Source organism: Homo sapiens, chromosome 15, assembly GCF_000001405.40.
Source record: "Homo sapiens chromosome 15, GRCh38.p14 Primary Assembly".
NCBI classification, from domain to species: domain Eukaryota; kingdom Metazoa; phylum Chordata; class Mammalia; order Primates; family Hominidae; genus Homo; species Homo sapiens.
The window spans coordinates 76413378-76437400 of NC_000015.10; the positions used below are offsets into that span (position 1 = coordinate 76413378).

At 40.0% G+C, this 24023-nt stretch overlaps 1 protein-coding gene across 20 annotated transcripts in view, besides 1 other annotated feature; it reads right to left on the reverse strand.

The window, feature by feature from the left end:
* SCAPER (S-phase cyclin A associated protein in the ER) overlaps positions 1–24023 on the reverse strand; it is a 557437-nt gene that overhangs the window by 65474 nt on the left and 467940 nt on the right. For 18 of the 20 annotated variants that reach the window (XM_017022273.2, XM_011521653.4, NM_020843.4 and 15 more), the window contains one exon: positions 20701–20933. In XM_017022273.2, coding sequence (XP_016877762.1) covers positions 20701–20933 — 233 coding nt within the window. Of the gene's footprint in view, positions 1–20700; positions 20934–21637; positions 21688–24023 lie in introns of those variants that run through there. The other 2 variants (NR_148227.2, XM_047432629.1) reach the window with 2 other exon arrangements.
* Positions 20342–21541: an enhancer, noted in NCBI's record as "BRD4-independent group 4 enhancer chr15:76726060-76727259 (GRCh37/hg19 assembly coordinates)". NCBI's record gives its function as "activates an origin of replication core promoter dependent on BRD2, P300/CBP, MED14 and CDK7 cofactors, and independent of BRD4, by STARR-seq in HCT116 cells {active_cell/tissue: HCT116}" and the evidence as "EXISTENCE:reporter gene assay evidence [ECO:0000049][PMID:35650434]".

Here is a 24023-nt window from a genome sequence, read left to right on the forward strand (position 1 = left end):
TATTTTATTATCATGAAGTAGTGTTACATTTGTTTCATTTTTTCTGCATCTACTAAGATGATCTTAGTTTCCTTTTGTTGAGGTCAGTGCCAGGAGATAATCCTCAAAAGGTCTGACATTTTTGCATGTCTTGTGAGCAGATGAACTAACAGCTTTTGTTCTAGACTAGGTTTTCCAGAATGTTTGTATAGGGAATGGTCTTGGAAAATGGTGATGATGTCTTCCTTTAGAGCAAAGGTCAGTTATGTTGGCTGTCCAGTATAGTAAAGATAGTGTCTATCTCCCAGGCAAAGGTTGAACAGGTCTATTTTTAGCCCATTTTAAAGATTGGGGTTTCCTAAGATTGTGGGGGTTTCCTCAGCTGTGATGTAAACTCACTGCACATGCAACATCCATCTGGGCCCACCCTGTGTTGTTTCCGTGGGACCTGGGGGTAAGAAAAACTGATGAGAACATAAAGTTCAAATTGCTTGCTGTCTGTGAGTAATGAGGTCCCTTGTCTCTGACTAGGAGTCTTGTATCTTTTGCCAGCATCCATGAAACTGTGGGCTAACTTGTTAGCCTGCAAAAAGGGTAAAATCTATGAACTTTCATGGTTCTTGATAAGTTAATATGGCAATTTCTAAATGTTAAAACTAACCTTGCATTCCTAGAATAAATCTCATATCGTCATGATCCTTTTATATATTGCTGAATTTAATTGCTACATTTATGTTCACGAGGAATGTTGATCTGTAATTTTATTTTTTGGAATATCCTTGTCAGATTTTGGTATTAAGGTTATACTGGCATCATAAAACAAGCTGGCAAGTATTCCCTCCTCTCCCTTGAGAGAGTTTGTGTATGATTGGCATATTTCTCCCTTAAGTGCTTTGTAGAATTTAGAAGTAAAGCCATCTGTACCCAAAGTTTTCTTTGTGGAAAGTTTAAGAAAGTAGATTTCTGTTTTGGTGGAATAACATCAATTTACCGTTCAAATAGCTCAGAAAACCTCAAGCAGAAAAAGTGCAATGAGAACTACACTGAAGCTGATCATGTCAAACTGCTGAAACTCAAATATAAATAAAAAATCTTGAATGCAGCTGGAGGAAAAAAAAGACACAACCTACAGGGGAAAAATGACATAAATGAAGGCTGATTTTTTATAAGAAACGATGGAAGCCAGAAGACCATGGAATGACATCTTTAAAGTGCTTCAAGGAAAAAAAAAATTGTCAAGCATGGAAAAGACCAAACAGTTATGTGAGAAATTAATATTAAACAAACTAGACTTCAAAGCAAGGAGTATTTAACACCAATAAAGAGGAATAATAATAAAAGGGCCATCTGAAAGACATAACAGTCTAACGGAGTTTCAAAATACTTGAAGCAAAATCATACTAATTAAATGGAGACAGATCCATAGTCACAGTTGGAGATTTTTAACACTCCTATTTTGCTAATTGTTAGAACTGGAAAAATATTAAGAATATAGAATTATGTTGTTCAGTATAGTCATTAGCTTTATGTGTTTACTTAAGTTTATTTGATAGAATTTGCTCTTTCAGTCCTTTCAATGATTTTGTAAGCACCTAATTCTGTTTTATATCCTTTTCTGCTTAAAATAGCTACAATGGCTTCATTTTCTACAACTAAATCCAGACTCATACAATGACTGACAAACAATGCTCAACCTCACTAGTGATAAAGTCAGTGTAATGAAGACGACAAAAACAAAACATTGCATAGCTATCAGACTGACAAAAACACTAGCAAGGATATGGGGAAATGGAAACTGCAGTTTTTTTGATGATGGGAACTAAAATTTGTACAATTACTTTAAAGAACAATTTGGTGTTAAATTGTTGAATATCTTTGTCAGATTTTGGTTTTAAGGTATCAACTTTTTTGGTATTTGGTATAAATTTTTGTCAGCAAACATTTAACAGTATTTTCTGATAAAAGTTGAACATGCATTTATTATATCATCCATAAATTACTCCTTTAGGTATATACCCTTGAGAAACTCTGTACAAGTACAGAAAAAGACTTTTATAAAGACATTTTACTACCTCATTGCTTGAAATAGTCAAAAGGAATAAACTATTGCCCTGAGGTGGAAAATGGATAAATTTGGGAATTTATTCACAGAATAGAATCTGAAGAGCAGTTAAAATGAATCAGCTAGATCTATATGAATCAACATAAATAAATATAAAAAAGTTAAAACATGTTATGTTTAATTGCATAAAAATAACAATTGGCAAAATAATATCATAGCATTTACGTAAATTTAAAAAACGATTAAAAGTAGAATATGTTGTTTATGAAGATAGATACACACACATACACACATATAAAAAATACATGAAATGATATACACAAACTCTTAACAGTGATATACCACTTGGGAGAGAGTAAGGGGAAAAGATAGGGAAGGGGAGGGGGAGGCAGTTGTATCTGCAACAGTTGGTTTCTTAACAACAGGGAAAAGGTCTAAACCTAAGACAAATATGGAAAATCTTATCAGTTAACAATTGTTGGTACACAGATATCTATAATTTTATTTTGTGTATGTTGACAGTATTTCATAATAAAATAATAGAAAATTTAAATATTAAAAATGGCAATAATGACTAAGTGTGAAAAAGCATTTGCAATATTAAGATGAAGGGTTAATGTTCTGAATATATAAATAATTTTTATAAACATTTCAACACCTCCAATAGTAGAAAAATGGGCTAAGTACATAAGGAAGCAACTTACAAAATAGTAAAAATGGCCAGTGAACATTAAAAAATATTCCCCATCACTAGCAATATAAAAGTTAAATACTGGCTGGGTGCGGTGGCTCACGCCTGTAATCCCAGCACTTTGGAAGGCCGAGGCAGGTGGATCACTAGAGGTCAGGAGTTCAAGACCAGCTTGGCCAATATGGTGAAACCCTGCCTCTACTAAAAGAAAAAAAAAAAAAGTACAAAAATTAGCCAGGCGAGATGGCACATGCTTGTAATCCCAGCTACTCAGGAGGCTGAGGCAGGAGAATCACTTGAACCCAGGAGGCAGAGGTTGCAGTGAGCTGGGATCACACCACTACATTCCAGCCTGGGTGGCAGAGCGAGACTCCATCTCAAGAAAAAAAAAAAAGTTAAATATTTTCATCTCTCAGTTTGGCTAAGGTTTAAAAAGAATGATGATACCCAATATTGTCTAGGTTGAGGGTACAAGGACATACTCATGGGTACTCTTTGTGTAGGTCAATCTGGCAATATGGATCAAAATTCTTAAGGTATATTCTCTGACCCAGAAATTCTACTTTTCAACATCTATCATAAGAAAATAATCAATTGTATGAAAATAGAAAAACAAAAGGAAAAGAAGAGCATACAAAGATGTTCTTCAGTGTTATCTGAAAAAGTAAAAAACTAAAATACACTTACATGTGTAATAATAGGTTACCTGAAGCAAATCATTCCTAAGTAGTGAAATACTTGGAAAACCAGTAGAAATTAATTTGCAAGTTTCTACTGACTTGAAAAAGTGAATTAAAAAAGTATATGATATGTTGGGTGTGGTGGCTTGCACCTGTAATCCCAGCTACTCTGGAGGTTGAGGCAGAAGGACTGCTTGAGGCCAGGAGTTGAGTTACAGTGAGCTATGATCATGCCACTGCACTCCAGCCTGGGTGACAGCACACACACCCTGTCTCTAAAAAAATAAAAAATAAAGTTTAAAAAAGCACATTATAAAAGAGTATTTATAGGTATTATATTTAAATAAAATAACTACATATATATACACTAAAAAACACAAACCCGGTAATTATCTTTGGGTGGTGGAATTAAAGATAGTCTGTGTGTGTTAAAAAAACAAAAAAACAAGAAACTGTACTCTTCTGTGTTTTCCAAATTATTTTTGTCATTGAGCACATAGTAATTTCATAATTAGAAAAAAGAACTTATTTTAAAAGGTGGTGGCAGAGAGACAGATACATCATCTGCTGCTGCAAGACAGCTTGAACACCTGAAGTAAAGAAATAGCAATGGAGTGAGGGTGAGAGTTTTGAAAAGTATTTACAAGGCAGGATCAATAGGTGCTGGAGGATTAACTGAATATTGGTTTGGTAAAAGACTGAGAGATCTAGCTTAAGTAACTTAATAGGACATTGCTGTCATTGATAAGGTCAGAGGACACAGGAAGAGGAGCTCCTTTGGGTGGACAGATAATGTATTAAGCTTTGAACTATGGAGTCTGAGGTACCTGTGGTACATCCTGGTGGCTAGATATGTGGTCAGGGTCTGGTGGCCAGGAAAGTGCTAGGCTAAAATTTCTCCTTGAATACATGTCTTATGTTTGATAACTTAGATTCTAAAAGGCTGGTGGCCAGGCGTGGTGGCTCATGCCTGTAATCCCACAACTTTGGGAGGCCGAGGTGGGCGGATCACGAGGTCAAGAGATCGAGGCCATCCTGGCCAACATGGTGAAACCCTGCCTCTACTAAAAATACAAAAATTAGCTGGGCGTGGTGGTGCGCGCCTATAGTCCCAGCTACTTGGGAGGCTGAGGCAGGAGAATGGCTTGAACCCGGGAGGCGGAGGGTTCAGCGAGCCGAGATCGCGCCTCTGCACTCCAGCCTGGCAACAGAGCAAGACTCCGTCTCAAAAAAAAAAATTTTTTTTCAGAGATTAATGTGGTCAAGGAGTGTCAGCAAGATGACCAATTAGAGTTGCCTGGTGGTTGTCCCCCTCCACCCCAACAGGAAGTGACCAAAACAACAAGCAAACAATGATATTTTGACTGTAGTGATGGAAGAAGTACATTGGATAATACTAGAGGGGCAGCAAAATCCCTGTGGAACATTAAAGCCCAGGATACCACCACAGACAGGGGAGTAAGGCATCCTGCCTCTGCCACACTGTCTTCCCTGCTGGCATTAGCTCAGAGTCAGGGAGGACTTCTTACAGGGAAAAAGTAAGCTGGAGATTCCCAGCAGTCCTCACTGCCACCACAAATGCCAGCAAATCTTGCTACAGGAGAATCTCCCAGTACTCATAGGACCCAAATCTAGTTTGGAGAGTAGCTGGGAATCTGTAAACCTGAACTCTCTCAGAGTAGGATCCCATGTTGGGCACTCCCCACATCTGTAACCTAAGTTGTCACAGCACAGATCATCTCGGAACCAGACCCACTGGTAGACTATGTCCTGCCCTGGGGGCCAGTAGCAACTGACTCTCTCCATCTCTGAGGCCCTGCCATCATTTCACCATGTTCACATGGGTGCTTGCATCACTATAACTGTAGCTGGCTGGATCCTAGGCCAGACAAAATTACTGAGGTGCCAGTGTCTGAACCCAGGTGGCATCCCACCCAACAATGGAACAGGCAAACCTGCACTGTGGTGAAGCCACCAAACAGCTGGTTGGCCTGCTGTGCCCACATCTGGCCTGAGAGCTGGATCAGTGATGGCCCTGCCTCCCCAGAGAGACTACTGCAGAGCCACATAGCTGGCCACACCTGCACATGCCTGAACCCAGTCTTGAAGCCAGCCTGGTTGTGGCTGCTGCCTTCCTGGAGTCTGCCAGGTAGTGTCTCAGACCTCTGCACAAATGTGCCTTTCTGGAGAGTCTGCCAGATAGTGTCTCAGACCTCTGCACGAACATGTACCTGGCCCAACAACCAGCCCAGTGCCACTGCCCCTAGGCTACAGTGTCTGTGATTATTCAAATTCCTGCAGCCTAGGCTATTGAGGCAATCACAGACATTGCTGATGAGAATTACAGTTGAAGAAACTGTACACAGACCATGCTACTAAGTCCACTCAGAACCAAAGCCAACACACGGTACCCAACCAACACCCTAGGACCCACCTACAGGTGGCAGGAGAATCGCTTGAACCCAGGAGGCGGAGGCTGTGGTGAGCCAAGATCGCACCATTGCACTCCAGCCTGGGCAACAAGAGTGAAACTCCGTCTCAAAAAGAAAAAAAAAAAAAAAGAAAAGAAAAAAAAGTCCAGGATCTTGAAGTTATCACTGCTGAATTCTCCTAAATATTTAAAGAACTAAAGAACTAATACTAATTCTCGGCCGGGCACGGTGGCTCATGTCTGTAATCCCAGCACTTTGCGAGGCCAAGGTGGGCAGATCATCTGAGGTCAGGAATTCGAGACCTGCCTGACCAACATGGAGACACCCTGTCTCTACGAAAAATACAAAATTAGCCGGGTGTGGTGGTGCACGCCTGTAATCCCGGCTACTTGGGAGGCTGAGGCAGGAGAATCACTTGAACCTGGGAGGTGGAGGTTGTGGTGAGCCGAGATTGTACCATTGCACTCCAGCCTGGGCAACAAGAGCAAAACTCTGTCTCAAAAAAAAAGAACTAATACTAATTCTCAAACTAAACCTCTCAAAATTAAAGAGGAAGGAACTTATTTTATGAGGCCAGCATTTCTCTGATTTCAAAACCAGACAAACATGTAACAAAAGAAAATTACAAGCCAATATACTTCATGAACACAGATGCAAAAATTCTCAACAAGATACTAACAAACTAAATTCAATAACACATTAAAAAGATCATTCACTGTAATTAGTGGGGCTCATCCCAGGGATGAAAGGATGGTTCAACATATGGAAATCAATAAATGTGATACACCACATGAACAGAAAGAAAGACAAAAACCTTATGATCATTTCAAGAGATACAGAAAAACAATTTGACAAAACTCAACATTCCTTCATTGAAAAAACTCTCAACAAATTCAGTATACAAGGAACATACCTCAACACAATATGTCACTTAAGACAAACCCACAGCTAATGTCATAAGATCAGGAATGAGACGAGGATGCCCACTTTCACCCCTCTATAGATGTTTTTTCCTTTTTTTTTTTTTTTTTTTTTATAGAGATGGGGTCTATGTTGCCTAGGCTGGTCTCAAACTCCTGGGCTCAAGATCCTCTTGCCTTAGTCTCCTGCGCTCCTGAGTAGCTGGGACTACAGATGCACACCACTATGCCTGGCACATGATCTTACATACAGAAAATCCTAAAGACTCCACCAAATAATTCTTAGAATAAGTGAATTCACCAAATTAGCAGGATACAAAAATCAACATACAAAAATCAGTGGTATTTCCATACATTAATAGTGAATGATCTGAAAAAGAATCAAAAGAGCAATTCCATTTACAATAGTAATAATAAAAATAAGATACCTAGGAATAAACTTAACAAGATAAAATATCTCTACGTTGTTAACTATAAGAAGACTTTTTTAAAATTATACTTTAAGTTCTATGGTACATGTGCACAATGTGCAGGTTTGTTACATATGTATACATGCGCCATGTTGGTGTGCTGCACCCGTTAACTCACCATTTACATTCGGTATATCTCCTAATGCTATCCCTCCACGCTCCCCCCACCCCATGACAGGCCCCGGTGTGTGATGTTCCCCTTCCTGTGTCCAAGTGTTCTCATTGTTCAATTCCCACCTATGAGTGAGAACATGCGGTGTTTGGTTTTTTGTCTTTGCAATAGTTTGCTGAGAATGATGGTTTCTAGATTCATCCATGTCCCTACAAAGGACATGAACTCATCCTTTTTTATGGCTGCATAATATTCCATGGTGTATATGTGCCACATTTTCTTAATCCACTCTATCAATGATGTACATCTGGGTTGGTTCCAAGTCTTTGCTATTGTGAATAGTGCCACAATAAACATACGTGTGCATGTGTCTTTATAGCAGCATGATTTATAATCCTTTGGGTATATACCCAGTAATGGGATGGCTGGGTCAAGTGGTATTTCTAGTTCTAGATCCTTGAGGAATTGCCACACTGTCTTCCACAATGGTTGAACTAGTTTACAGTCCCACCAACAGTGTAAAAGTGTTCCTATTTCTCCACATCCTCTCCAGCACCTGCTGTTTCCTGACTTTTTAATGATCGCCATTCTAACTGGTGTGAGATGGTATCTCATTGTGGTTTTGATTTGCATTTCTCTGATGGCCAGTGATGATGAGCATTTTTTCATGTGTCTGTTGGCAGCATAAATGTCTTCTTTTGAGGAGTGTCTGTTCATATCCTTTGCCCACTTTTTGATGGGGTTGTTTGTTTTTTTCTTGTAAATTTGTTTGAGTTCTTTGTAGATTCTGGATATTAGCCCTTTGTCAGATGAGCAGATTGCAAAAATTTTCTCCCATTCTGTAGGTTGCCTGTTTACTCTGATGGTAGTTTCTTTTGCTGTGCAGAAGCTCTTTAGTTTAATTAGATCCCATTTGTCAACTTTGGCTTTTGTTGCCATTGCTTTTGGTGTTTTAGACATGAAGTCCTTGCCCATGCCTATGTCCTGAATGGTATTGCCTAGGTTTTCCTCTAGGGTTTTTATGGTTTTAGGTCTAACATGTAAGTCTTTAATCCATCTTGAATTAAGTTTTGTATAAGGTGTAAGGAAGGGATCCAGTTTCAGCTTTCTACATATGGCTAGCCAGTTTTCCCAGCACCATTTATTAAATAGGGAATCCTTTCCCCATTGCTTGTTTTTGTCAGGTTTGTCAAAGATCAGATAGTTGTAGATGTGTGTTATTATTTCTGAGGGCTCTGTTCTGTTCCATTGGTCTATATCTCTGTTTTGGTACCAGTACCATGCTGTTTTGGTTACTATAGCCTTGTAGTATAGTTTGAAGTCAGGTAGCGTGATGCCTCCAGCTTTGTTCTTTTGGCTTAGGATTGTCTTGGCAATGCGGGCCCTTTTTTGGTTCCACATGAACTTTAAAGTTTTTTCCAATTCTGTGAAGAAAGTCACTGGTAGCTTGATGGGGATGGCATTGAATCTATAAATTACCTTGGGCAGTATGGCCATTTTCACGATATTGATTCTTCCTATCCATAAGCATGGAATGTTCTTTCATTTGTTTGTGTTCTCTTTTATTTCATTGAGCAGTGATTTGTAGTTCTCCTTGAAGAGTTCCTTCACATCCCTTGTAAGTTGGATTCCTAGGTATTTTACTCTCTTTGAAGCAATTGTGAATGGGAGTTCACTCATGAGTTGGCTCTCTGTTTGTCTGTTACTGGAGTATAAGAATGCTTATGATTTTTGCACATTGATTTTGTATCCTGAGACTTTGCTGAAGTTACTTATCAGCTTAAGGAGATTTTGGGCTGAGACAATGGGGTTTTCTAAATATACAATCATGTCATCTGCAAACAGGGACAACTTGACTTCCTCTTTTCCTAATTGAATACCCTTTATTTCCTTCTCCTGCCTGATTGCCCTGGCCAGAACTTCCAACACTATGTTGAATAGGAGTGGTGAGAGGGGGCATCCCTGTCTTGTGCCCGTTTTCAAAGGGAATGCTTCCAGCTTTTGCCCATTCAGTATGATACTGGCTGTGGGTTTGCCATAGATAGCTCTTATTATTTTGAGATACGACCCATCAATACCTAATTTATTGAGAGTTTTTAGCAGGAAGGGTTGTTGAATTTTGTCAAAGGCCTTTTCTGCATCTGTTGAGATAATCATGTGGTTTTTGTCTTTGGTTCTGTTTATATGCTGGATTACATTTATTGATTTGCATATGTTGAACCAGCCTTGCATCCCAGGGATGAAGCCCACTTGATCATGGTGGATAAGCTTTTTGATGTGCTGCTGGATTCGGTTTGCCAGTATTTTATTGAGGATTTTTGCATTGATGTTCATCAGGGATATTGGTCTAAAATTCTCTTTTTTTGTTGTGTCTCTGCCAGGCTTTGGTATCAGGATGATGCTGGCCTCATAAAATGAGTTAGGGAGGATTCCCTCTTTTTGTATTGATTGGAATAGTTTCAGAAGGAATGGTACCTGCTCTCCTTGTACCTCTGGTAGAATTCGGCTGTGAATCCATCTGGTCCTGGACTTTTTTTGGTTCGTAGGCTATTAATTATTGCCTCAATTTCAGAGCCTGTTATTGGTCTATTCAGAGATTCAACTTCTTCCTGGTTTAGTCTTGGAAGGCTGTATGTGTCCAGGAATTTATCCATTTCTTCTAGATTTTCTAGTTTATTTGCATAGAGGTGTTTATAGTATTCTCTGATGGTAGTTTGTATTTCTGTGGGATCAGTGGTGATATCCCGTTCATCATTTTTTATTGTGTCTATTTGATTATTCTCTCTTTTCTTCTTTATTAGTCTTGCTAGCAGTCTGTCAATTTTGTTGATCTTTTCAAAAAACCAGCTCCTGGATTCATTGATTTTTTGAAGGGTTTTTTGTTTCTCCATCTCCTTCAGTTCTGCTCTCATCTTAGTTATTTCTTGCCTTCTGCTAGCTTTTGAATGTGTTTGCTCTTGCTTCTCTAGTTCTTTTAATTGTGATGTTAGGGTGTCAATTTTAGATCTTTCCTGTTTTCTCTTGTGGGCATTCAGTGCTATAAATTTCCCTCTACACACTGCTTTAAATGTGTCCCAGAGATTCTGGTATGTTTTGTCTTTGCTCTCATTGGTTTCAAAGAACATCTTTATTTCTCCCTTCATTTCGTTATTTACCCAGTAGTCATTCAGGAGCAGGTTGTTCAGTTTCTGTGTAGTTGAGCGGTTTTGAGTGAGTTTCTTAATCCTGAGTTCTAGTTTGATTGCACTGTGGTCTGAGAGACAGTTTGTTATAATTTCTGTTCTTCTACATTTGCTAAGGAGTGCCTTACTTCCAACTATGTGGTCAATTTTGGAATAAGTGTGATGTGGTGCTGAGAAGAATGTATATTCTGTTGATTTGGGGTGGAGAGTTCTGTAGATGTCTGTTAGGTCTTCTTGGTGCAGAGCTGAGTTCAATTCCTGGATATCCTTGTTAACTTTGTCTCATTGATCTGTCTAATGTTGATGGTGGGATGTTAAAGTCTCCCATTATTATTGTGTGGGAGTCTAAGTCTCTTTGTAGGTCTCTAAGGACTTGCTTTATGAATCTGGGTGCTCCTGTATTGGGTGCATATATGTTTAGGATAGTTAGCTCTTCTTGTTGAATTGATCCCTTTACCATTATGTAACGGCCTTCTTTGTCTCTTTTGATCTTTGTTGGCTTAAAGTCTGTTTTATCAGAGACTAGGATTGCAACTCCTGCCTTTTTTTGTTTTCCATTTGCTTGGTAGACTTCCCTCCATCCCTTTATTTTGAGCCTATGTGTGTCTCTGCACGTGAGATGGGTCTACTGAATACAGCACATTGATGGGTCTTGACTCTTATCCAATTTGCCAGTCTGTGTCTTTTAATTGGAGCATTTAGCCCGTTTACATTTAAGGTTAATATTGTTATGTGTGAATTTGATCCTGCCATTATGATGTTAGCTGGTTATTTTGCTCGTTAGTTGATGTAGTTTCTTCCTAGCATCAATGGTCTTTACAATTTGGCATGTTTTTGCAGTGGCTGGTCCCGGTTGTTCCTTTCCATGTTTAGTGCTTCCTTCAGGAACTCTTGTAGGGGAGGCCTGGTGGTGACAAAATCGCTCAGCATTTGCTTGTCTGTAAAGGATTTTATTTCTCCTTCACTTATGAAGCTTAGTTTGGCAGGATATGAAATTCTGGGTTGAAAATTCTTTTCTTTAAGAATGTTGAATATTGGCCCCCATTCTCTCCTGGCTTGAAGAGTTTCTGCTGAGAGATCAGCTGTTAGTCTGATGGGCTTCCCTTTGTGGGTAACCTGACCTTTCTCTCTGGCTGCCCTTAACATTCTTCCCTTCATTTCAACTTTGGTGAATCTGACAATTATGTGTCTTGGAGTTGCTCTTCTCGAGGAGTATCTTTGTGGCCGTCTGTATTTCTTGAATTTGAATGTTGGCCTGCCTTGCTAGGTTGGGGAATTTCTCCTGGATAATATCCTGCAGAGTGTTTTCCAACTTGGTTCCATTCTCCCTGTCACTTACAGGTACACCAATCAGACGCAGATTTGGTCTTTTCACATAGTCCCATATTTCTGGGAGGCTTTGTTCATTTCTTTTTACTCTTTTTTCTCTAAACTTCTCTTCTCGCTTCATTTCATTCATTTGATCTTCAATCACTGATACCCTTTCTTCCAGTTGATAGAATCGGCTACTGAAGCTTGTGCATGTGTCACATAGTTCTCGTGCCACGGTTTTCAGCTCCATCAGGTCACTTAAGGACTTGTCTACATTGGTTATTCTAGTTAGCCATTCGTCTAATCTTTTTTCAAGGTTTTTCGCTTTTTTGCAGTGGGTTCGAACTTCCTCCTTTAGCTCTGAGAAGTTTGATTGTCTGAAGCCTTCTTCTCTCAACTTGTTAAAGTCATTCTCCATCCAGCTTTTTTCCGTTGCTGATGAGGAGCTGCGTTCCTTTGGAGGGTGAGAGGTGCTCTGATTTTTAGAATTTTCAGCTTTTCTGCTCTGTTTTTTTCCCATCTTTGTGGTTTTATCCACCTTTAGTCTTTGATGATGGTGACGTACAGATGGGGTTTTGGTGTGGATGTCCTTTGTTTGTTAGTTTTCCTTCTAACAGTCAGGACCCTCAGCTGCAGGTCTGTTGGAGTTTCCTCAGGTCCACTCCAGACCCTGTTTGCCTGGGTATCAGCAGCGGAGGCTGCAGAACAGCGAATATTGCTGAACAGCAAATGTTGCTGCCTGATCGTTCTTCTGGAAGCTTCGTCTCAGAGAGGTACCCGGCTGTGTGAGGTGTCAGTCTGCCCCTACTGGGGGGTGCCTCCCAGTTAGGCTACTCGGGGGTCAGGGACCCACTTGAGGGGGCAGTCTGTCCCTTCTCAGATCTCAAACTACATGCTGGGAGAACCACCACTCATTTCAAAGCTGTCAGACAGGGACATTTAAGTCTGCAGAGGTTTCTGTTGCCTTTTGTTTGGCTGTGCCCTGCCCCCAGAGGTGGAGTCTACAGAGGCAGACAGGCCTCCCTGAGCTGTGGTAGGCTCCACCCAGTTCGAGCTTCCTGGCCGCTTTACCTACTCAAGCCTCAGCAATGGCGGGCACCCCTCCCCCAGCCTCTTTGCTGCCTTGCAGATTGATCTCAGACTGCTGTGCTAGCAATGAGTGAGGCTCCATGGGTGTGGGACCCTCTGAGCCAGGTGCGGGATATAATCTCCTGGTGTGCCATTTGCTCAGTTGGAAATGCAGAAATCACCCGTCTTCTGCGTCGCTCATGCTGGGAGCTGTAGACTGGAGCTGTTCCTATTTGGCCATCTTGGAACTGCCCGAGAATTTTTTTTTATAAAAAGAAAGAGGGCACCAATAAATGGAAAAATATCCTGTGTTCATGGATTAGAATAATTAATATTGTTAAAATGGCTATACTACCCAAAGCAATCTACAGATTTAATGCAATCTCTGTCGGAATACCAATGACATTCTTCACACACAAAAAAAACAATCCTAAAATTCATAGAGAACCAAAACAAAACACAGCCTGAATAGCCAAAGCAATCCTGAGCAAAAAGAACAAAGCTGGAGGCATCATATTAATTGACTTAAAAATGTAGTACAAAACTATAGTTATCAAAACACCATGGGTCTGGTATAAAAACAGATACATAGACCAATGGAACAAAATAAAGAGTCCAGAGATAAATTCATGCACTGACAACCAACTTATTTTTGGTAAAGCTGCCAAGAACATGCAATGGGGAAATGAGAGTCTCTTCAATAAACCGTGCTGGGATAATTGGGTATCTACATGCAGAAGAATGAGACTAGAACCCTACTTCTCACCAATACAAAAACCAACTCAAAATAAGTTAAAAATGTAAATGTAAAACCTGAAACTATGAATGTACTAGAAGAAAACACAGAGGAAATGTTTCACAGATTGAGTCAGGCAAGGAGTTTAAAAATAAGATCTTAAAACCACAATTAACATACCAAAAAAATAGACAAAGGGGATTATATCAAACTAAAATGCTTTTACACAGCAAAGTTAACTAACAGAGTGAAGAGACAACCTGCAGAATGGGAGAAAATATCTGCAAACTATACATCTGATAACGGGTTAATATCTAGAATATATACAAAACTTAAATAACTCAACAGTGAAAAACTAAATAACCCAATTCAAAAAGGGACAAAAGATCTTAATAGACTTTTCTCAGAAGACATACAAATGGCCAACAGGTATACGAAAAAATGCTCAACATCACTAATCATCAAGGAAATGCCAATTAGGACCACAATGAGATACCAGCCCACTCCAGTTAGAATAGTTATTATCAAAAAGACAAAAGAAGATGCTGGGTACAGTCACACATGCTTGTAATCCTAGCACTTTGGGAGGCTGAGGTGGGAGGACTGCTTGAGCCCAGGAATTCAAGACCAGCCTGAAAAACATAATGAGACCCTGTCTCTATAAAAAAAATTAAAAAATTAGCTGGTGGGTCACCTGAGGTCAGGAGTTCTAGACCAGCCTGGCCAACATGGTGAAACCCCATCTGTACTAAAAATACAAAAATTAGCCATGAGTGGTACCAAGTGCCTGTAATCCCAGCTATTCAAGAGCCTGAGGCAGGGGCATCACTTGAACCTGGGTAGCAGAGGTTGCAGTGAGCTGAGATCGCATCACTGAACTCCAGCCTGGGTGACATGAGCAAAACTCCATCTCAAAAAAAAAAAAAAAAATTAGCTGGGTGTGGTTGTTTGCACCTGTAGTCCCATCTATTTGGGAGGCTGATTTTGGAGGATTGCTTGACCCTGGGGGGTTGAGGCTGCAGTGAGCCATAATCATGCCACTGCACTCCAGCCTGGGCAACAGTGTCTCAAAAAACAAAACAAAACAAAACAAAACAGATAAAACAAACATTGGTGAGGATGTAGAGAAAAGGAAACACTTGAACACTGTTGGTGGGATTGTAAACTAGTATAGCCATCATGTAAAAAGTATGGAAATAGAACTACTGTATGATCCAGGAATACCACTGTTGGTTATAAATCCAAAGAAATGAAACCAGCATGTCAAAGAGGTATCTACACTCCCATGTTTATTGCAGCACTATTCAAAATAGCCAAGATATGGAGTCGACCTAAGTGTTCTTCAGTGGATTAAGGGACAAAGTGTGTTATACACACATAATGGAATACTATTTAGCCATAAAAAAGAATGCAATCTTTCTTTTTTACAACATGGATGGACTTGGAGGTTTGTTACAACATGGATGGACCTGGAGGTTTTTATGTTAAGTGAAATAAACCAGGCACAGAAGGACAAATATTGCATGATCTCACTCAAGTGTGTAATCTATAACGAGAAGTTGAAGTTGGTATCCAGAAGCAGAGAGTACACCAGCGGTTACCAGAGGCTGAGGAGGGGCTGGGGGAAGAAGAGAGGAGGAAGAGAGGTTGGTCAATGGGTACAAGGCTACAATTAAATAGGAGGAATAAATTCTGGTGTTCTATTGCATAGTAGAGTGACTACGGTTAACAGTAAAGTGTTGTATATTACAAAATCCCTAGAAGAGAGGCTTCTGAATGTTCTTACCACAAATGACAAATGTATGAGGTTATGAACACAATAGGTATCCTGATCAGATCATTATACTATATATATATATATATATATATATATAAACATCAAAATGTACTCAGTAAGTTTGTATAGTTACTGATATGGTGTAGCAGCGTCCCCATCCAAATCTCATCTTGAATTCCCATGTATTGAGGGAGGGACTTGGTGGGAGGCAATCGAATCATGGGTACAGGTCTTTCCCGTGCTGTTCTCATGATAGAGAATAAGTCTCACGAGATCTGGTGGCTTTTTATAAAAAGGAATTCCCTTGCACAAACTCTCTCTTTGCCTGCCACCATCCACGTAAGTTGTGACTTGCTCCTCCTTGCTTTCCAGCATGATTGTGAGGCCTCCCCAGCCATCTGGAAATTTAAGTCCATTAAACCTCTTTTTCTTTCCAGTCTTGGTTATGTCTTTATCAGCAGTGTGAAAACAGACTAATACAGTAAATTGGTACCAGTAGAGTGGGGCTCTGCTAAAAAGTTCCCTGAAAATGTTGGAAGTGACTTTGGAACTGGGTAACAGGTAAAGGTTGGAACAGTTTGGAGGGCTCAGAAGAAGACAGGAAAATGTGGGAAAGTTTGGAACTTCTTAAGAGACTTGTTGAATGGCTTTGACCAAAAATGCTGATAATGGTAACGACAATGAAATCCAGGCTGAGCTGGTCTCAGATGGCGATGAGGAAATTGTTGGGAACTGGAGCAAAGGTGACTCTTGCTGTGTTTTAGCAAAGAGACTGGCGGCATTTTTCCCCTGCCTTAGAGATTTGTGGAAATTTCAGCTTGAGGGAGATGATTTAGGGTATCTGGCAGAAGAAATTTCTAAGCAGCAAAGCATTCAAGGGGTGACTTGGGTGCTGTTAAAAAGCATTCAATTTTAAAAGGGAAACAGCATAAAAGTTTGGAAAATTTGCAGCCTGACTACGCGATAGAAAAGAAAATCCCATTTTCTGAGGAGATATTCAAGCCGACTGCAGAAATTTGCATAAGTAACAAGGAACTGAATGTTAATCCCCAAGACAATGAGGAAAATGTCGCCAGGGCATGTCAGAGGTCTTCATGGCAGCCCCTCCCATCACAGACCTGGAGGCCTAGGAGGAAAAGATGGTTTAGTGGGGCAGGCTCAGGGCTCCCCTGCTCTGTGCAGTCTAGGGACTTGGTACCTTGACTTCCAGCCACTCTGGCCATGGCTAAAGGGGCCAAGATACAGCTTGGGCTGTTGCTCCAGAGGATGGAAGCCCCAAGCCTTGGCAGCTTCCATGTGGTGTTGAGCCTGCAGGTGCACCGAAGTCAAGAATTGAAGTTTGGGAACCTACACCTAGATTTCACAGGATGTACGGAAATGCCTGGGTGCCTAGGCAGAAGTTTGCTGCAGGGGAGGGGCTGTCATGCAGAACCTCTGCTAGGGCAGTGTGGAAGGGAAATGTGGGGTCAGAGCCCCTACACAGAGTCCCTACTGTGGCACCGCATAGTGGAGCTGTGAGAAGAGGACCACTGTCCTCCAGACCCCAGAATGGTAGATCCATTGACAGCTTGCACCACGTGCCTGGAAAAACTGCAGACACTCAATGCCAGCCCGTGAAAGCAGCCAAGAGAGGGGCTATACCCTACAAAGTCACACAGGCAGAGCCGCCCAACACGATGGGAACCCACCTCTTGCAACAGTGTGACCTGGATGTGAGACATGGAGTCAAAAGAGATCATTTTGGAGCTTTAAGATCTGACTGCCCTGTTGGATTTGGACTGGCATGGGGCCTGTAGCCCCTTTGTTTTGGCCAATTTCCCCTATTTGGAATGGGTATATTTGCCCAATGCCTGTACCTCCATTGCATCTAAGAAGTAACTAACTTGCTTTGGATTTTACAGGCTCACAGGCAGAAGGGACTTGCCTTGACTCAGATGAGATGTTGTACTATGGACTTTTGAGTTAATGCTGAAATAAGTTAAGACTTTGGGGGACTGTTGGGAAGGCATGATTGGTTTTGAAATGTGAGGACATGAGATTTGGGAGGGGCTGGGGTGGAATAATGTGGTTTGGCTGCATCCCCACCCAAACCTCATCTTGAATTCCCATGTGCTTTGGGAGGGACCCGGTGGGAGGTAACTGAATCATGGGGGCAGGTCTTTCCCATGCTGTTCTCGTGATAGTGAATAAGTCTCAAAAGATCTGATGGTTTTACAAAGAGGAGTTCCCCTGCACAAGCTCTCTCTTTGCCTGCCACAACCCATGCAACACATGACTTACTCCTCCTTGTGTTCTGCCATGATTGTGAGGTCTCCCCAGCCATGTGGAACCCTCTTTTTTTCTCAGCCTTGGGTATGTCTTTAACAGTAGTGTAAAAACAGACTAATACAGTTACAATGTGCCAATGAAAAAAATTAAAAATGAAATAAATTCAGATGTCTAATAGTAAAATAAAATTAGTTGGATATGCTGTAAAAGTCTTTTTAAATTTTTGACACATCCTTCTACAGTGTCTGGCACAAAATTAGTATGGGTGGCCATACTTTGAATTGAAAAATATTTCCAAGAATGGCTTAGATGCAGAAACTTGACTGAAACAAATAAAATAATAAGAATAAATACTGTAATGATCTCATGTCTCTTAGATATCTTCCTACCTCTCCTATGCCAGATAAGGGGAAGGAAGGGACAGATGTCAGAATCTGCTCCTGCTCTACTTCAGGGATACAGCCAGAGAACAGCTCCAACGACTGTACTGGAGCCCTTTCTACTCAACTTCACAACTGACAAAAATGCCCAGATTGTAACAGGGAGTGGAGTGAGACTTCTTGTCAGTTCATATCTGGGAAGGTGAGAAGGCAAGTATGAAAATGATTAGCAAAAAAAAAAAAAAAAAAAAAAAAAAAATGCTTTGTTTGCTAAACTAGGCAGATGTGAAATATGGTTTGCAGTTTTACACAGTCCTCACCAAGCCAAATAACAATGCATTATCTGTAAGAAAACAATATTCAACAACAGTGGTTCAAATCAGAGAAAGACTGGCATGGTATTTTTTGAAGCAGTATGGTTGTCAATCATCATTTTTAAGTCACATGAGTTATTTGGTTTGGCAGATTACCACTGCTCCTTCCTAAAGGAGGAAGGTATTAGGGGAAAAATACCTCCTAAAGGAAGGTATTAAAAGAAGGATTTGGTAATTATAATAATGTATGTGAAAATGTACGTATTTCCCCCTGGAAGGCCCACTGGAATTGCAATGAAGCATTTGAATGGATCTTCCGCTTCATCACAGCTAAGGCATGTGGCTAAGTTGTCTGGATGACAAGCATGCAGGGTTGCTGCATCACAGGGTAGCCCAAGGGAGAATGCAGGGACAGAATGACATTCGTCAGCAGAGAGGGCAAATTCTACAACGACCAAAAGGACATGGGGAATTGAATGGGATCAAGCAACTGAGAGAAAGGCCAGGGAGGCTAAAAGTCAAGTGCTGTAAGATAAATGGTTGTGGCCCAAAGGGCCTGGTGCTCTCCAGTAATAAATACACTTGAGGAAAGAGGACAGGCAGATAGAAGGGGTAAGTGAACAAAGTAATCAAGGGTAAGGAAGCTACTGAATGAAACAACTGTTCCCAAGAAAGCACTACAAGAAAGCAGAAGAAATTTATGAACTGCGAAAGAAGCAAATACAGAGGAGTGCATTCTTGTTCTCCTGTTAACCAACCATAAGCTTCAGAGAGCAACAAATTGCATGGATTTGGGGAGCCAGAGATCAGTGCAGAACACAGAAGAGGTGCTGATAGGTGGAACAGGTAATTGATTAACACCAGATGAAACTCTGTTGGGAAATAAAAAATTAACGAGGGTAAATGAGTTCAGATGCCAAAGTAGGAGTAAATTTCCCTGGAGAGAAGGTGACCTTAGAAGGAAACAGGGCTGACCTTGAACAGGTGTCAGAAATTGCCACATTTGTGTAGTGGAAAGCATACAGGTGTTGGGAGTCCAGCTAGACATGAATTCCACTCTCAGCTCTCCTACCTACTTTTAATCTTGTTTATTACATAACCTTGGGCTAAGTACTTAACTTCTCTGAGCAATTTCCTCACCTACAAAGCTTAAGTTAGAAATATTACACTTACAGGGCTGCAAAGCCTCTACTACAATACCTTACACTTAAAGGGGTTACTATACTATACTATAGGTATAACCCTATAAGGTTAACCTACTAGGTGTAAGGTATTATACTATAATGGGTACTCTATAAATGGTAGCTATTATTGTTGTTTTAAGTCTGAACCTAATTTATAACCAGAGATGAACTGAGATAGGGGAATTCTCAGAAATTCCTTCAGTTGGAAAGAGTTGACATCAAGAAACTTGTAAAAGCTCTAGCAGAACACATTCTAACATCACATATCTAAATATCAAGAAAAGCCAGGTGTGGTGACTCACACCTGTAATCCCAGCACTTTGGGAGATGGAGGCGGGTGGGTCATTTGTGGTCAAGAGTTTGAGACCAGCCTGGCAAACATGGTGAAACCTTATCTCTACTAAAAATACAAAAATTAGCCAGGCATGGTGGCATGTGCCTGTAATCCCAGCTACTTGGGAGGCTGAGGCAGAAGAATTGCTTGAACCCAGGAGGCGAAGGTTGCTGTGAGCCAAGGTTGCGCTGCACCACTGCACTCCAGACTGGGTGATAGAAAAAACAACAACAACAACAACAAAAAAACAACCAAGAATGATACCTGAGCTCTACCTATATTGCTACTTAATATTTACCCTTTTGTCCAAAATTTTTGGTTTCACTGAGATAATCATTTTTCCCTATATGTTGAATTTCCTATTTATGTATCACTAATTGTCTATCTTTTTTGTCAAAATGAAATTTCCTGTCAAGAGAGAATTTTCTTTCTCTCTACAAAACTGTTTTAAAAAATCCATTGTGCTCTTCCGTGTTTTCCAAATTGTGTTTATCATTGAGCATGTATTACTTTCATAATTAGGAAAAAGAACTTATTTTTAAAAGGTGGGGGACAGACAGACAGACGTGCTGTCTGCTGCTGCAAAAGAGCCTGAATATCTGAAGTAAAGTATTAATAGCAGCAATGGAGTGAAGGTGATAAATCTGAGAAATATTTACAAGGTATTCTTGGTATTCTCTACCAGGAATGTGTGAATGGCATTGTGAGAACCACTGCCATCACATGGGCCTTGAGATTTAAATTATTTTAATATAGTTTCTTAACAAAGAACAAAGTTTTAAGAACTCTAGCAATTTTACCTGATAAGGTCCTGAACTCGATTGTTAAAAGGATCACCTTGTGAGGGTTTGTTTTTCATTTCCTGTGTTGGTATTTTTGGGGTAGCTGGCTGGCAGTTTCCATCTGGTCGATTGGCAATCAGGCAGCCCAAAACCACAGCACTGACTTTGAGAAGTCCAGTTGTCAAGCCTTCAAAAACTTGTTTATTTGTATTTCTCCCCAAAATAGTATTATTTTCATCTGGAACATAAACCTAGATGAAAAAAAAGTACAGTAAATATGTTTCAATAAAACCACCAAAAATGGGCAGAGACAGTTTAGAACATTTCTGGAATCATAAGTAATTTTGACAATCTAAAATGTTCAAGAGTGTTGGCTCTGAAATCAGACTGCAAGTTCAAATCTGAGCTTTACCCTCAGTACCTGATGTCCCTGGATAAGGTTACTATTTCAAAATTCCAATTTCTCATCTATAAAACAAGGATAATGAGAGTACCTGTATCATAGAATTTTTGTGATTATTAAATGAGCTGATACATATAAAATGCTTAGAACATGCACAGGCATGCTGTAAGTATTCAATACTTAATAAATTATATTAAAAATTTAAATGAACTCAGAAAATAGATAAAATGACAGCACTGTTTCTTATTACAGTGTATTAAAAAAATCTAACCTGAATTCCTCTATCAGGATGAAATTTGCATTTCCTACTACAAAATGGCAAAATAGTTCTTTCCCTAGTACATAATGCCACACTCAGCTCTCTTTGTGTATAGTTTACAAGTAACGTGGTTATTAAACGTTGGAGCTTGGACCATGGCTCTGCAGTGTATGATCTGAGACAAGTTCCTTGCTTTCTGTATCTCCCTAGCTCCCAGGACAACTCTGAAGTTCAACTAAGAAGATGAATGGGACAATATTTGGTAAAATATTAAATTCCACAAATGTACTTACTTGGTGACAACCAGCCTTTGCCTCATTTTCACTGTTTATCTGTATCAGTTCTACCAAAGATAGAGGAATAAATGATCACTTGGATCCAAAAGGGGGATCTTTAGCAAAAACAAGCAACTTATTGGCCAGAACTAGTCACACAGTCCACCCAACCACAAAGGGAGCCAGGAAATGTCATCCTATCATGTACTTGGAAAGAGAGAAAGAATCAGAACATCTGTTAAACAGCACTATCGACTGCATAGTAATAGTTATTGTTTTTTCTATTATGACTATGCAAATATTCACAGCTAATCTACTTAATATTTACCCTTTTGTCCAAAATTTTTGGTTTCACTGAGATAATCATTTTTCCCTATATGTTGAATTTCCTATTTATGTATCACTAATTGTCTATCTTTTTTGTCAAAATGAAATTTCCTGTCAAGTTCATATACATCAGTGATTCCTGATTCTTTTTCCTTCTCCAAAGGAGACATTCTTCCTGAAATCAGCCACCCTCTTTCTCTAACCTAGACTGGTAGCTCTCTAGGCCTACTACACAGCTCTAGGTTAGATGCCCTTATTTCTTGGATCACATGTCTTCCTTTTCTTTCCATACAGTTCTCTCATTTTGGTGTAGGGTCTACTCCACCAACTTCCTAAGAAAGAGTGCATGGGAAGAAACATTTTGAGATTCTGCATGTTTAAAAATATCTTTTATTATCCTTACATTTTATCGATAGTTTGGCTGGATATAGGATTCTTGGTTGGAACCCATATCCTTTAAGTTTTGAAGGATTGCTCCATTGTTTTCCACTTCAAGCATGGCTGTTTAGAAGTCTCTAATTCCTAATACTTCAGTGCACGCCCTGTAGAACTTTGAAACTCCAGAAACTTAGAATCTTCTTATGGCTGATTTCCTGTACCTTGGTATAGATTTTCTTTTATTTATTGTGTGAAAACTCAGTGGTCTTTTCAACTTGAAAGTTTTATGTTTCATTTCTGGGAAAATTTCTTGCATTATTTCTTTGCTAATTTCCTCCCATTCATTTTCTTTGTTGGATTTTTTGTTTTGTTTTGTTTTTTTTGGAGACAGAGTCTCACTCTGTCATCCAGACTGGAGTGCAGTGGCACGATCTCAGCTCTCTGCAACCTCTGCCTCTTGGGTTCAAGCAATTCTCCTGCCTCAGCCTCCTGAGTAGCTGGGATTACAGGTGTGCGTCATTACACCTGGCTAATTTTTGTATTTTCATTAGAGACAGGGTTTCACCATGTTGGCCAGGCTAGTCTTGAATTCCCGACTTCAGGTGATCTGTCCACCTTGGCCTCCCCAAGTGCTGAGACTGCAGGTGTGAGCCACTGCAGCCGGCCTTCTGATGGATTTTGAACCTAGACTGAGCTTCTAATTTGGAAAATACTTTTTCTCTGGCTGTTCATCTTTTTATGTTTTTTCCTGCTTCTTTGGAGACTTCCTTATTTTCTGGTCCTATTACTTTTTTTGTTTCATCAATTATATTTTAAAATTTCAAGAGCTCTTTTTGGCTTTCTATATGTTTTGGTAGTGTCTTGTTTTTATTTCATGGATGCAATATCTTCTCATCTTTGTGAAATTATACTTTTTAAAAGATTTTTTTTTTGTTTCTAACATGGTCTCTGTTTTGTTTGAGGTTTTTCTGTATTTCAAGTTGGAGGCTTTCCTCAAATATGTAGTAATCTTGGGCTTTTTGTTCATATTTAAGATTGATGAATGAATATATCAGTGTATCACAATCTGGATCTAATCAAACAGAAGCTGAATACAAACTTCTGTGTGAGGAGTTTCAATTTGGGTGATTAGGTTGAGACCACACTTTTCTGCTGGGAGATCCCAGCTTTTAATATTTATAAGTCTATTGTCCTGGGACAGTTAATTTCATGACACAGAATGAAATCATATATCCTCCGCAAACCTGGAGTGTATAACATGGTGCCCATTTTCAGAGGTTCACTGGAGAAGGGGGCTCAGTATCTTACTGTTCTGAGAATGTGTTTTCACTAAATCACTTTGTTTTTGTATGGCTGTGCCTGGTTGTCCCCATGTTCTATTTAACTTTGATTGAAACTGGTGTCTTCTCTGAGGGTTGGGCAATGGCAGTCACTTGGCTATACATATAGTAGGTAGGTTCTAAGGCACCCAGGGCACCTAAACTGCCTTTTATTTAGACTTTCAACCAATTCCCCTCTTTGCAGCCCCCGTGCACCCTCATTTTCTGAGATAGCCAGTAACTCTAATTCTTGAGCCCTGCTAGGATTCTGTGGCACAAATTTTCTTCTGGCGTTTTGCTAGTTTGGGCAACTGTCTTTCAATCATGTGCTTTCCAGATTGAAAAAAAAAATACTTGCTTTCCTTTCCTTCCTGTGCTCT